The 15,087-nt window shown below is 39.3% G+C and overlaps 1 protein-coding gene across 15 annotated transcripts in view; it reads right to left on the reverse strand.

The window, feature by feature from the left end:
• Positions 1-15,087, reverse strand: part of TENM1 (teneurin transmembrane protein 1) — an 828,410-nt gene that overhangs the window by 65,011 nt on the left and 748,312 nt on the right. For all 15 annotated transcript variants that reach the window (XM_017029210.3, XM_017029211.3, XM_047441760.1 and 12 more), the window contains one exon: positions 12,424-12,578. In XM_017029210.3, the coding sequence (XP_016884699.1) occupies positions 12,424-12,578 (155 nt within the window). The remainder of the gene's footprint in view (positions 1-12,423; positions 12,579-15,087) is intronic.

Consider the following 15,087-nt stretch of genomic DNA (forward strand, 5'->3'; position numbering starts at 1 on the left):
ACATGCCTACCTAACTGACATGGCAAACGTACACATAAAAGCCAAGGTTACATGTAATGCCATATGGTCTCTTTTTTCACTTCTGATCGGCTCCAACAATTTATAGTTGCAAGTGCCTTTCAAAAAAGAAACTTCCTTCATGTGTGTTTTCTCATTTAACTGACATGACCTCCTTAGGAGACATTACATGTTTTTATCCCACTTTTTATTGGTGGAGAAACTCAGGCTCAGAGATCTTAATTAACTTGTCTGAGGTCTCACTGCAAATAAATGGCAGAATATGGACTCACACCCAGGATTGTCTATACTCCTTCTACTAGAACACTCTTAGTCAAAGGAAAATAGGTGAATTAGGCAACTGTCCAGAGAAGTTTGGTAAAACATGCCTCTGTACTCCTGAAGAAATATGAATAATTGTTCCAGGCTTATAAACATGTCTGGTAGAAAGTTTGCTCATTTTTATTCAGTAGTCATCACTTTCTGATTTAAATACTTTCACATTTAAGGTAATTGACATATTGAGGTCTTTGAGAAGAGTGTGGCTAAGTTAACAATGCCTTCCTGCTATGGTTGATGTAGATTGAGCTCCCTCTTTATCTTGTAGGAACTAACAAGCACTCCCATTTCTGCACTTATAATATAAGCCTTTGGATCAGCGGGAGGAATTGGCTGTGACTCGTGGTTTGACTGAGTGCATGTGGCTCAAATGAATAGAACAAAACATTGCTGATTTAGGATGCTTATGTTTGGACTCCTGCAATAGCCCATTGCTGAGCAGTTAAAATTGCTGCTCTATTGTTGTGGTCCAGGCATGAGAACGGTGAAAGAAAATGGGAAAATACACTGGAGGTTTGGTTGGTATGGCTTTTAATGCCATCTAATCTATTAGTTGATAGTTACTATGAAAATAGTTAATTCAATTGGTTAAACTAACCATGACCAATTAGGATAGAGTAAATGTTTGGCATAAGGGCCACCAAATGACATTTTTCGTTCCATTCTACTACTCCCTGGGCCTCATTAATTTGCTGTTTGATCTTCTGTCCACTCTCTAATCTTCTCTTATCCTTTCTTCACCTCTCTTTTTTTCCCACCTATTTGTGCCTACTGCACACTGGTATTACTGACCCTTGAGAAATGTGTTTTCAAATATTTCAGATATATAGCTTTCATCGTCCCTGTCTTGCTGTCTACCTGTAACTCACTCTTTCCTTCTACCACATGCCCTTGTGTCTGAATTATCTGGAGTGTGGCCAGAGACCTTTTCTTTGCTTTGACAGTGAGATAAGTTCCATAGTCATGGAAACATTGAGAGGGTGTGGTGGGGTGGAGGTGGTGAGATTTTCATCTTTGGTGGCAAGAACTTTTAAAATAAACTTTCTTTTCTTTTTCCCCTGGGAGATCCCTTTATTCAAGCAAACTTATTATAATTCAGATTTTCTTGATTCCCTACAGAGCTTCACAAAACTCACAAGTCTGTCCCTGCAGGGAATTTCATTTATAGTGGCCTTCATTTGAAAGATCTAATTCTGTTCTCTTTCAGTGTGCACATGGGAGACTGATGGAAGTGCACAAAGAAAAGCAAGTAATCCATGAAGAAGTTGAGTTTCAATATCATCTGTATCAGTATCACTCAGGATGATGAAGGACATTCTGTAGACATGAAAGGGTTGGCAAGGGAGAGAGGGAAAGACAATGACAGATGTTAGGCAAGAGTTTAAGAAGGGGAAAAGAAGGTGCCTTTTCTGTTAAAGAAAATTTTTTTTTGAGACATTGTTTCACTCTGTCATCCAGGCTGGAGTGCAGTGGCACAATCACAGCCCACTGCAGCCTTGTCCCCTGGGTTAAGGTGATCCTCCCAACTTAGCCTCCCGTGTAGCTGGGACTACAGGCATGCACCACCATGCCCGACTAATGTTTGTATTTTTTGTAGAGACGGGGGTTTCGTCCTGTTGCCCAGGTTGGTCTTGAACTCCTGAGGCTCAAGTGATCTGCCCACCTCAGCCTCTGAAAGTGTTGGGATTACAGGCATAAGCCACCATGCCTAGCCCTCTTCTGCTTTAAAACTACTGTTTTTTTTTTTCTTTTTTTTCCACCCAGATTGCTGTAACTTTTCATGCCTGGATGACTATGTGTGTGTGTGTGTGTGTGTGTGTGTGTGTGTGTGTGTGTGTGTGTGTGTGTGTGTGTGTGTATTTAAAACAACAGAAAATGCTGAACCCACTTGTATAAAATTAAATTGACATATAGATTTTGAAGAGGAGGCTGCATATTACCCCTTCTACAGAGCTGTGTTATTTTATCTGAAGCTTGCAAAAAAATCTAAGGACAAGAGAAAGTTGTTTTTTCAGTTATGTAGAGAGCAGAAGACAACCAAGGAAGGCAGAGGTCTGCTGCTTGGGGCAGGTGGTATAGTACTGATGGATGAGAGAGAGGGGAAGGTTTTGTTTTCTCTGTTAAGGAGAATGACGACAGAGAATATTGATTCAGAGTTACCAAAGCCAAAAATGGATGAAGGGATTGTAAAAGAGCATCTAAATTCTTTAACTGAGTTCAAGTTTTCTAGCTAGGAAGAATCACTCCTTATAGAGAACATGCAAATGGGGTTTAGAACTTTTTTGTGTAATTATTGAGAAATAGTGGGCACCAGAAGATTAGAGATGGTTAAATATAGTTCTGACTTCAAGAAGAATCAGAAATGTGCCCCACAACCTGCATGGAGGGAGCTTTATGTTGATTTGGAAAAGATCTTCAATTGTATTATGAAACAGTTGTTTTTTTAGCTCTTAGATGAGGAAATGATGTTTACAGACACTGTGACTAGAAACAAATTTTTTCAAGTGGTTCTTATTTCCTTTTAAACAGAGTTACCAACCTGGTAAGGTTTCTCATGACACCTTTACAGATAAGTTGGGGGAAATATCAGTGAAGAGAGTGGCTTTCAAACTTGTTTTGACTGTGACACTCACTAAAAACTGTATTTTACACCATTATCCAGTTGAAATAAAAATATTATGAAACACTACTCACCCTCATTACACATGATACACCTTGATTTTTAAAATTGTGTTTCACCTTTTTAAAAAGCTGGTCATAGGCCATTATATTGATTTCCCAATGTATTATGAAGAATCACAATGAGTAGGTGAGAGTTCAAACACATGGGTTCATAATCTAACAGATAACTAGTCTATTGGTGCCACAATTGCACCTACCTATCCATCAATTTTATAATGGATGAAGGCATAGAAGGCATTCATCAGATACATAGGCGACACAAGGCTGGGAAGGATAGTGAAAATATTAGATGATATCAGAAGAGTATAAAGAATTGGACTAACTCAAACAACATGGAATTGAATAGAGACTAAGGCAGGACCCAGCAGTATGTTGTAAATCACTAATGGTGCAAGTGTAAGATGAGGAGATGGGAATGAGAGACACGTGAATTTTTAGTTTTCTGTAATTACATCACATCATATGTCAAATGTGTGATACAGCTGTGAAAAAATCCCGGTCAACTTTAGCTGTGGTTCTTTAATCTGTGCCCTTTATTTCTTTAGCATTTTGCAAAAGTGCCTTTGAGGTCACCATGCAAGCTACCATCACACGGAAGTAAGCTTGAATAAAGAAGGTTCTGGGACACCACCTCTTGTTTGAATCTGCTGTTTGCATCTATTTTATAAATTGAGACTGATTTGTTTGAAGTAAATGTTCTGTGGCTAAAGTTTTTTTTTTTTAAACAATCAATGGGCAAAAGGAAAAGAAACAATATAGAAAGGGAGTTGTGACAGTTCCCATTCTACCTCTGAGTACTCAGAGCACATCTGGATTATTTTATTCATTCTGGAAGCCATGGTGGCTTCCATTCTGGAAGAATGGTGAAGGAACTCAAAACCATGTAAAATGAAGTATAGTTAAATGAAGTGGGAATGTGACTTAAGAGGCATGAAAGAGTTGTTTTCTTGTACTAAGAGGGCTGTCACGTGGAGGAGGCAGTTTAATGTAATTTGGTGAAAATAATGTGGGCTTTGGCGTCAGGTTGACCAGGTTCAAATTCCAACTCAGCCACTTATTGGTTGTGCGGCCTTAACCAAGTTACTCAATTCCTCTGAATCTTGTTTTTCATATGTATTAAAAACAGGGGAACATAATACCTATCTTGAAGGATTGTCATGAGGATTAAATAAGATAACATATATAAACGTACCCAGTATTGTGCTTGATTCACTAGTAGATTGATCTCATAGAATATAGATTAAATTTATAATTCAAGAAAGCCTGAACAGTTGCAGTAAGACTGGATGGTGAAAGTTAAAGGAAGACAAAAAGTCAAAGGGATCCAAGAAGAGCTTGTCATCAGTCAGAGGTATTCAAAGATGGAATGTGCTGCCTGGGGGAGGTAGTACTAATTCCCTAACACAGGAAGCATTTGAAAATAGGTTGGATTGTTACTACATGGTCAGAATATTCTGGAGAGGAGTCAAGCATCAAATAACTGAGAAGAGTAAGATTCCTAGTGGACTAGTTCAATAGATGTAATATATGAGGACAAAGTTTGCTCCTCCAAAGAATGTTACCTTCCTTCCTGCACAACTATGGATGATGCTTCCCCTACCCGTGTTAGACCCATCTGACAAATGGGTGCTGTTGGAAACCAGTGGGAAACACACAAATCATCCAATAAGCACTTATGAAGCCCTGGCTGTGTATCTGGATGCTCTAGACAAACACCTCAAAGTGTGTACCTTATGGGCAGTAGGTCAACAGGATTTCCTATGCATGCAAAAGGTCCATCTTGCTTGTGTATCTCCTATTGGGCTGACTTTGGGAAAAGCATTAGGCTGGCTCCAAGGAGTAACTTGCTATCCCATCAAGAAACTTGCTCTAACTCCCAATTCCATTCTAGTCAGGCATCAGATGGAAGTGAGTTACCAGAGCAGGATGATTCAAAAGCAGCAACAGAAATAAAGCACCCAGTGTCTTGATAATCAACTCATCTCCTGAAGTGAAAGGCCTGGTTGCTTATAGCAGTGCTTACAAAGGGCAGTTATGCTTCAGAGTTTATACTGAGAGTTCAGTTTCAGATTTCAGTAAATCAAAAAAAGATATTGATTTTGAACAAATGGATGATTTTATTGTCAAAGCAAATTTCATTTCTTGAGATGATTAGATTTTATTAAACTCTTTCCTAACTGCCACTAAACACACATTCTGTGAATAAACAGCATATTCTTCAACCAAGCGGCATTTGTCACTCAGCTAAATACAATGCTATTTGGCCATCTCCAGAGGTTGGAAAAATGCACACTTGGGTTCAGAAAGCTTGTGCCAAAATCTTAGTTATATCACTCAATAACTCTATGGTCATAGCACAATATATAATCCCTCCGACTAACAGTTTTCTCCTCTGGCAGATGGGGATAATAATATCTACCTCTCAAGGGTGGTTGCATTGTGTAGACAAAATAGAATAGTGTAAATTAGATTCTTAGCATAGTTCCTGGTACATAGTGAGCTCTCTATAAGTGGTAGCAGTTATTCTTAGACTTACTATAGGACTTAATGATCTGCTAAAGATTAGGACAAGCCCTGAGAACTGATTCTTCTTTGGGCTTAGGTTTGCCACAGAAAAGTACAGAAGATGAAGGCAAGTAAGATGAAGAGGACCATTCTCTCATATCACTTTCTAACCTCCATAGGTACTATGCTAGTATACATGGGCCTTTCTTTGTTGGAGATCTTTTGGTTTTGAAATGCTGGAATGCTGGAAAGGTAACAAGAAACTTTAGAAATTTGGTTGTATTTCTGTGGAGACACCTTTGTGGAGTTGGAAGGAACCTTGAGAAAACAGTTGGTCCATTTTCCTGGCTCCAGAGAGGCCTGTATGTCAAGCATTCATAGATTATTGCTATCCAATATTTGCTTGAAAAGTTTCAAAAGGTGGGAACTCCACAAAAAATTTTTAAAAATATATGATGCTGCCATGTAGTGTTAGAAACAGTAAGCTTTTCTTAAGGTCTGATTCAAATCTTCATGTTGCAGCATAGGCCTCTATTTTCTCTCCTGTCCATTCCTGTCAGCAGAAACAATGCACTCTCATTTAGACATTTGTCTGTGCCCTCACCCGTCAATATATTTTGATTTACTGAAATATGAAACTCAGCACTGTGTAAGCTCAGCTGGATCACTGTAAGTACTACTATAAACAACTGGGGCTTTGCTCTTGGTGGGTGTTATGAAGCTCCCTGCTCAGCTTTCTTCTCTCTAGCTGAAGATGGCCCATGTTCTTAAGTACAGTCATGGGAAACATCGGTTGCCAATCTGTCACAGTTGTCTAAACAGATGGGAAGCTCTGGTCATAATGGCTGAGCATCTAGGAAGCTGTGCCACACACAGGCTTTCTCCTGGTAAACTCTCTATCAACTGACCCATCAATTTCATTCGGTGTTCTCCAGCTTTAGTCCACCTGTGCCACATCTGGGTGCTGATCTGCCCACACCTGAGAGCTGATTTGCTTCAATGCCAAAGCCTCTTCTTCCCAGCCAAACATCTCAAAGAAGTGATCTATTTTCCGTTTCTCCATTTCCTCACTTCCTACTCTGCCGCTGGTATCTGACTCTCATTAATTAGCACTCTATCAAAGGTACTCTTATCAGAGGCGTTAATGCTGTGAAATCTAATGGCTTCTTTAAAAAGCACCTCATTTTTTATGATCCCTAAGCAGCATTTGATACTGACCATTCCCTTCCTCTTGAAAAACTTGCGTCTCTTGGCTTTTTTGACACCTTCATGGTTTTCCACCTAATTGCCAGGTCTCCTTCTCTCAGCCTCCTTTGTGGGTTCTCATTCCTCCGTTTTTTCTTGAATACTGGTGTTCCATAGAGTTTGGTCTTGAGCCTTCTCCTCTTTTTTATGCTGTGTACCCTCCGTGAGAGAGCTCATCCACTCCCCTATTTACCATTGCCATGTGTAAACTAATAGCAATCACAACTCTAATCTGTAGTTAGACCTCAAGCTTTAAACCTGTATCCAATTTCCTGCCAGATATCTTTATCTGGATGCCACACAGGCACCTCAACGTACCCCAAACTGAACCCATCATCCAACCATCAAGCAAACCTGCTTCTCTTCCTCTTGTATTCCCTGTACCAGTGAATGGTACTACCATACACATGTTCCCTCAATTCTGAAATTGTCAGTCAACAAGTTATTTGATATTGGCTCCAATGTTTAATGAATCTATCTACCTTTCTATGAGATTTTAGGTTCAGCCATTAAAATTGCTTGCCTATGTAGCCTGCATAAAGCTGAGCAGTGTCATGGAAAGTCTCATCCAGAGTTGTATCCCAAAGAAATATCAGCTGAACATCCCAAAAGCATTGGAAAACAGCTTAATTTTTATAGCAGTCCCTTGGAAAGGGGCTGATCATATCTACATTGATATGTTTTTTCCTTGTCATACCTGGATTTCTTCAACTGTCTCTTAAGTGGTCTCCCTGCCTCTAGTGTTATTTTGCTTCACTTGGTTCTCCATGCAACAGCTAGAATGATCTCTGAAAACTGATTTCCATGCTTAATACCATTTTAAAAATGCATTTCCCTTCTTAACGCTGTTATTATCTCTTCATTGTTCAGTATAACTTCATTATGCTTATAAGGAAGGCCCTTCACCATTTCACCCTCACTTACCTTTCTAGCTTCATCTCTCACTACTCTTTCATATTCTTTTTACCATTATGTCCTTTTGGTTCAGGTATAGATGTTAACTGTACCTGCTGAGCCCTTCCTATGCATGTTCCAGGAACACACAGTCTACTGTGGGAGACGGGTTGGATACACAGTTTGCCAACAAAGATCAAATTACATTTAAGCATGGTGATACTAAATTCCAGTAAGGGATTGAAGCAACAGTGAGGACTAGAACCATCAAGGAAGGTTCCCATGGAAGAGGTGAGGTGTGAGGAGGATGGAGAATGGGATTTGGACCAGCAGAGGTACTTCCAGACTGGGGAAATGGGGCCATGAGAAGTAGGCCTTTAATAAAGGTAGAGGGTGATAATCTGGACACTAATCAATACAGTCTCCTTGTTTTGAGCCAGTCTGGGTGGACAAATTGGATTTACTCTTTAGTGTGTCTCAGGCACAGAACAGGAAATGGTGGATAGCAGCAGAGTTACTGGCCAAATAATCTGGACATAAAACCTGCTTTCTTTCCTGGTAAATCCTGCTGGCTTCTGCCATCCCCTTCTCATACCACACAACCTCCCCTGCCTCCAAAAAAATCTACTGTATCTCTAAAGCTAAAGTTGTGTACAGAAAGGGGAAAGAGGGTACTTCAGAGAAACTGAGGCTTGGAATGAAATGCCATAGAGAAAAGTTTCTGTCTCCTGGTTACCAGGGCTTCTTTTCAGTGGGCTGCATTGTATTTCCCAACCTGAAAAGGATGAGGTAGATTTTATGGTGGGAATTATGTTTGGAAAGTGTCATGTGAAAAAGAACCCTTCTCATGGTGATGATGATCATATGTTTGCTCTACTAAGACAAATAATTCTCTTTTCAACATAACTTTTCTACACAGAAACAGAAAAGTTGTTTAGAGTTGACTGATTGCAATACTAAATGCCCTATTTTAAGTTAAAAATATCCCACAAGTGAATCATACATGTGCATCTTCTCTGTCCCTCCTCCTCCATACAAATACATTCACACCCTTCTTTATTGCCATAAATAATGCTCCTTTTCCTTGCCTTCTGCAGCATTTTGAATCATGGAAAGTTAGACTATTCTAGGACTTGATAGCCTGACCCATTCAAGTCTCTATTAAAAAAGGGTTTGTTCATTTTGTCAGTTTTCCAGGCCCAACTCCCCATTTCACTTTTGTAGTTGACTATATATGAACATTTCTTGAGTTTCTGGGGCAGGGCAGGGGCACATAGAGAAGCAGAAATTCAAAACAGGCCAGTGTTTTATAGAGTTGTATGCTCAAGGTGGGTGGAGGTGGCAGGAGATCTTAGAGTCAATGACTAAAGCAAGGTTTCTTAGGGGTGTGTTCCTTTTACTTACTAATATGGTTTTGCTGTGTCCCCACCCAAATCTCATCTTGAATTGTAACTCCTACAATTCCCACAGGTCGTGGGAGAAACCTGGTGGGAGGTGATTGAATTATGGGGGCGGGTCTTTCCTGAGCTGTTCTCGTGATAGTGCATGAGTCTCACGAGATCTGATGGTTTTAAAAATGGGAGTTTTCCCTGGCTAACACAGTGAAACCCCGTCTCTACTAAAAATACAAAAAAATTAGCCGGGCGTGATGGCGGGTGCCTGTAGTCCCAGCTACTCGGGAGGCTGAGGCAGGAGAATGGCGTGAACCCGGGAGGCGGAGCTTGCAGTGAGCCGAGATTGCGCCACTGCACTCCCGCCTGGGCCACAGAGCGAGACTCCGTCTCAAAAAAAAAAAAAAAAAATGGGAGTTTCCCTGCACAAGCTCTCTGTTTGGCTGCTGCCATCCATGTAAGACATGACTTGCCCCTCCTTGCCTTCTACCATGATTGTGAGGCCTCCCCCACCATGGAGAACTGTAAGTCCAATAAACCTCTTTCTTTTGTAAGTTGCACAGTCTTGGGTATGTCTTTATCAGCAGCGTAAAAATGGACTAATATATTTACCTTGTTTTTCTAGGTTTTAGGTGGTATGACAAATGAAGCAACAGGAATATCATAACTGTGGGGTACACTGCTCATTGCCTCCCCAGTAGCAACCCTTTACTCCTTGCTAACAGAACTCTGATTTTGGTTTAAGAATCAGGTAGCAATGTGCTCAGGGAAGGGGACCCACTTCTAAAGGGTCTGAATTCACTATGGAATCTCATTTCCCCTTTGCCAGTGACTGGTGAAGGCATGGGCATGTGACTCAATTCTGGCCAATGTGACACAAGAAGGAAATTTGCTGGCATCTTTGCCTATCTTTGGACAACTCGTTATGTGAGATAATTAAACTTTATTGTTTAAACAACTTTTAGACAAGTATTTTATTACTTGCAGACAAGACCATCCTCTGTGATACACTAATCAATTTGAAAACTCTCAACATCCACTTTAGTGTTTTTGAAAAGATTATTTAATAATCTACTTTATTAGGGTCACAAATTTATGGAATGTTAGAGCTGGAAGGTTTGAGGACTGTCTAATCTATTTCCTTCATTTCTTGTTTCTGCAGACTAAAAAAGTCAGACACTGAATGTTGGGACTATGCTGTATGCTCTATAATCTCTTTAAATGTCTAATACTGATTTTGTAGAATTGTGGTAAAATCAGAATTTTGGACCCAGATGAGAGCTACACTGAATTTTCTTTTATCCTCACTGGCCTAAAAAAAAAACCAAAAAAACACAGATTTCCTAAATAACAGTAAAATAGATCTCAGAGGGGATGTTGCTTTTACTTAAGAAAACTTCCAAACACCCTAGAAATAGCTATTTATATACATGTGAATAACAACATGCTCATATATTCATTAAAAAAGATGTCTAAAGAGACTTCGTAGTCACTATTTTTCTAAATTTCAGTCACTGTTTCATTTGACTTTCTTCACAGAATTGGATAAAACTACTTTAAAGTTCAAATGGAACCAAAAAAGAGCCCGCATTGTCAAGTCAATCCTAAGCCAAAAGAACAAAGCTGGAGGCATCACGCTACCTGACTTCAAACTATACTACAAGGCTTCAGTAACCAAAACAGCATGGTACTGGTACTGAAACAGAGATATAGACCAATGGAACAGAACAGAGCCCTCAGAAATAATACCACACATCTATAGCTATCTGATCTTTGACAAACCTGACAAAAACAAGAAATGGGGAAAGGATTCCCTATTTAATAAATGGTGCTGGGAAAACTGGCTAGCCATATGGAGAAAGCTGAAACTGGATCCCTTCCTTACACCTTATACAAAAATTAATTCAAGATGGATTAAAGACTTAAATGTTAGACCTAAATCCATAAAAACCCTACAAGAAAACCTAGGCAATACCATTCAGGACATAGGCATGGGCAAGGACTTCATGTCTAAAACACAAAAAGCAATGGCAACAAAAGCCAAAATTGACAAATGGGATCTAATTAAACTAAAGAGCTTCTGCACAGCAAAAGAAACTACCATCAGAGTGAACAGGCAACCTACAAAATGGGAGAAAATTTTTGCTATCTACTCATCTGACAAAGGGCTAATATCCAGAATCTACAAAGAACTCAAACAAATTTACAAGAAAAAACAAACAACCCATCAACAAGTGGGCAAAGGATATGAACAGACACTTCTCAAAAGAGGACATTTATGCAGCCAACAGTCACATGAAAAAATGCTCATCATCACTGGCCATCAGAGAAATGCAAATCAAAATCACAATGAGATACCATCTCACACCAGTTAGAATGGCGATCATTACAAAGTCAGGACACAACAGGTGCTGGAGAGGATGTGGAGAAATAGGAACACTTTTACACCGTTGGTGGGACTGTCAACTGGTTCAACCAGTGTGGAAGTCAGTGTGGTGATTCCTCAGGGATCTAGAACTAGAAATACGATTTGACCCAGCCATCCCATTACTGGGTATATACCCAAAGATTATAAATCATGCTGCTATAAAGACACATGCACACGTATGTTTATTGTGGCACTATTCACAATAGCAAAGACCTGGAACCAACCCAAATGTCCAACAATGATAGACTGGATTAAGAAAATGTGGCACATATACACCATGGAATACTATGCAGCCATAAAAATGAGTTCATACCCTTTGTAGGGACATGGATGAAGCTGGAAACCATCATTCTCAGCAAACTATCGCAAGGACAAAAAACCAAACATCGCATGTTCTCACTCATAGGTGGGAACTGAACAATGAGAACACTTGGACACAGGAAGGGGGACATCACTCACCCTGTTGTGGGGTGGGGGGAGGGGGGAGGGATAACTTTAGGAGATATACCTAATGTAAATGACAAGTTAATGGGTGCAGCACACCAACATGGCACATGTATACATATGTAACTAACCTGCACATTGTGCACATGTACCCTAGAACTTAAAGTATAATAAAAAAAATAATAATAGAATTACTTATCTTGGAAATATTCAATAAATGAGATTGGCCTTACCCTCTGATTAATTCAAGCTTGAGAGACTTTACTTAATTGTATGTCAATATTCTACCTGACATTACTTCCATCCTCGCTTACCATTTTCTCCCAACTAAGCTTTTCTAACGAGGAAAAAAGTAACTTACATAAAGAGAAACTTCTGCTATCTGGTGTTATAACAGATATGCCAGGCTTCCATTCTACCTCATTTCTACATGAGAAAATTGTTATCCATTTCCATGATGCCAAATGACAATAATACTTGAAAACCAGTGATGCCTACCTGAGTGATGTCCATTCCTGAGTCACAGCTCAGTGGTTGTGTGGAAGTCAGACCATTTGAGCCGATTACAGTTGTGATCACAGCATTCTCATCAATTTTGCGAATCATAGTCCCATCCACAAAGTAAATAAATCCATGCCTATCAACTGTGATGCCTGTTGGGAAAGAGCAAATGAGCATTAGTAGTCTAGTGAACCACATTTGCACTAAGCTCTGTATTTTGAAAAAAGCCATAGCAATGGAAAGGCATTTTAAAGACATATAGATTCAATTTTGCTCAGCACAGACAGGACAGTAATGGGAGAGGTTTGTTGGGGCATACATTCACTTCTTTGTGTATTGAGAAGAAATGACAAAAAGTCACACGCGGAGATAAAGCCAGGTCTAATAATTTTGTCCAGTTTTACATTTCCACCCCCTTGATACTTGCTTGCCCCCACAAACAATAAAAAATCATCTTTAAGATAAATGGGAAAAGACGGGGAGATCATGTATATTACATTTTTTTTTAGGGTGCTAATGCACAGGCTGCTGCTTATTTTCACGATTGCATTAGGAAATAACTGACTTGAAAAGCATTATAATTATTTTCATCAATTCAGACTTTGTTAAAAGGGAGTTTGTAATAACTTTGATGAACCGGGCTGAGTTTTTTTCTCCATATTATCTATTAAAAGGGGAGTTGGCGAGCAAAATTATAGTATCACAAAGGGAATGGCTAAGTTTCTAGAAAAGATAAAAGCCGATAAAATTTTCACAGCAGTTTTTACACACAGTGTTAATTACAGCCTGGTTTCTTAAAATTTTTATTATAATAGCAGTTAGAAGGCTTGGGTTCTAATACTGAATACCCCACTTACAACTAATGTGTGACTCTGATTGAGTCATTCATTTGCAAATTTCAGACTCCTCTTTGGTAACATAGGGACAGGATCGTCTGCCTTACTTAGCTAAAGTGATCTACTGCTCTGGTTTGGCTGTAACTGAGGCAGAGCTCAGTTTTAAAACTAGGACCATCCTTGACAAACCAGGATGAGCTGGTTACTCTATATCTAGGTATATCTAGGTGTTTTTTTTTTTTGTTTTTGAGGGAGTTTTGCTCTTGTTGTCCAGGCTGGGTACAATGGTGCAATCTTGGCTCACTGCAACCTCCGCCTCCTGGGTTCAAGTGATTATCCTGCTTCAGCCTCCCAAATAGCTAGGATTATAGGAGCCTGCCAGCACGCCTGGCTAGTTTTTTGTATTTTTAGTAGAGACAGGGTTTCACCATGTTGGCCAGGCTGGTCTCGAACTGACCTCAGGTGATCCACCTGCCTCGGCCTCCCAAAGTGGTGGGATTACAGGCGTGAGATATCGGGCCTGGCCCTAGGTCGTTATATCATATGAAGTAATACATATAAAAAGTATCAGATACACTTTAAGAACATATGGCTCTACTCCTATTTCCCTTGGTGCTTTTGACAGTGCTCTTGAAAATAACCACATGGCATTTTTCAAACTAGTCTACAATTTAGTCTTTTCCCCACTTCCCTTTATTTAGGTCTGGTGAAACTCATTGAATGGATGTTAAAGTCAGAATTTCTGTGCTAACAAGCGTGTCCTTTTAGCACAACACAACACACAAACACACACACACATGAATTTTCTGGCAAAATGTGAACTCATCTAGAGTCATTTTATAAACTCAACTTAATAAACTGCTTTTAGATGAACTAATTCATTGGCAGGAAGTTAATATTAAGACTTGGCTTTATGGTATACTTTGATTAATCCTGATGTTTGATTAATCCTTAACATCTATAAAAGTTACAAATTCATTTTAATGTCCCCTGAATACTTCTAAAGTCATCTATGTTTTGGTGAGTTCTCCAAGGAAACCAGCATGTCCAAACAAGGGAATTCCATGTCCATAAATCCCTTTATAATTTTTAGAGGTATAAGGACCCTTAAGGTGGTTTATAAAAAGACTTTTAAGACTGGGGCAAGTTAAATGATGATGGCGTATGAACAATTATTTTAATCTCCAGAACATTTTGGATGAGGATGAACCAAGGGGGAACTTCTGCCTGTTATTTTTGTGTTTTGCAACATCAATTTCTTGATTGCTTAAAATTTGGTGTGGTTTGTGGCAGACCTATTATTTAGAACCACCTTCTATGACCACTATATTAAATATCGCTGAGTATAAAATTTCAAATTTGGCTGTCATAAAGGGATAGACTGAAAGATCAAGACTCAAGACTCAAGTCTGGGGATGGAAAGACTGAAAGGAGATGTGCTCGACATGTACGAAATCATGAATCATTTACTAAACACTATGATTACTAAATCGTAGTGAATGTCACCATGCTAGGCTCTGTGAGGGTATAAGGATAAAGAATCTGGTTACACTGAAACTAAGACTAAGAGGAATACTCTGGAACTTTAGTAAATTAAGGATATTAAAAATAAAATGAAGTGTTGCTCTTATGAGGAGGTAGTAAACTTAGAGGATCTGATCCTCTAAAAATTTGAGCAGGTTCACAAAAGGTACAGAGAAATAAATGTATTCTTAACTAGTATACATGGGAAGGTCTTTACATGTCTTTGCTGATATCAGGGAGGACAATTCTTTTCCTTGACTACCACACTTCTCATCCCATCAGAGTGCAAAGTTTAGGCTGA

Source organism: Homo sapiens, chromosome X, assembly GCF_000001405.40.
Source record: "Homo sapiens chromosome X, GRCh38.p14 Primary Assembly".
NCBI classification, from domain to species: Eukaryota; Metazoa; Chordata; class Mammalia; order Primates; family Hominidae; genus Homo; species Homo sapiens.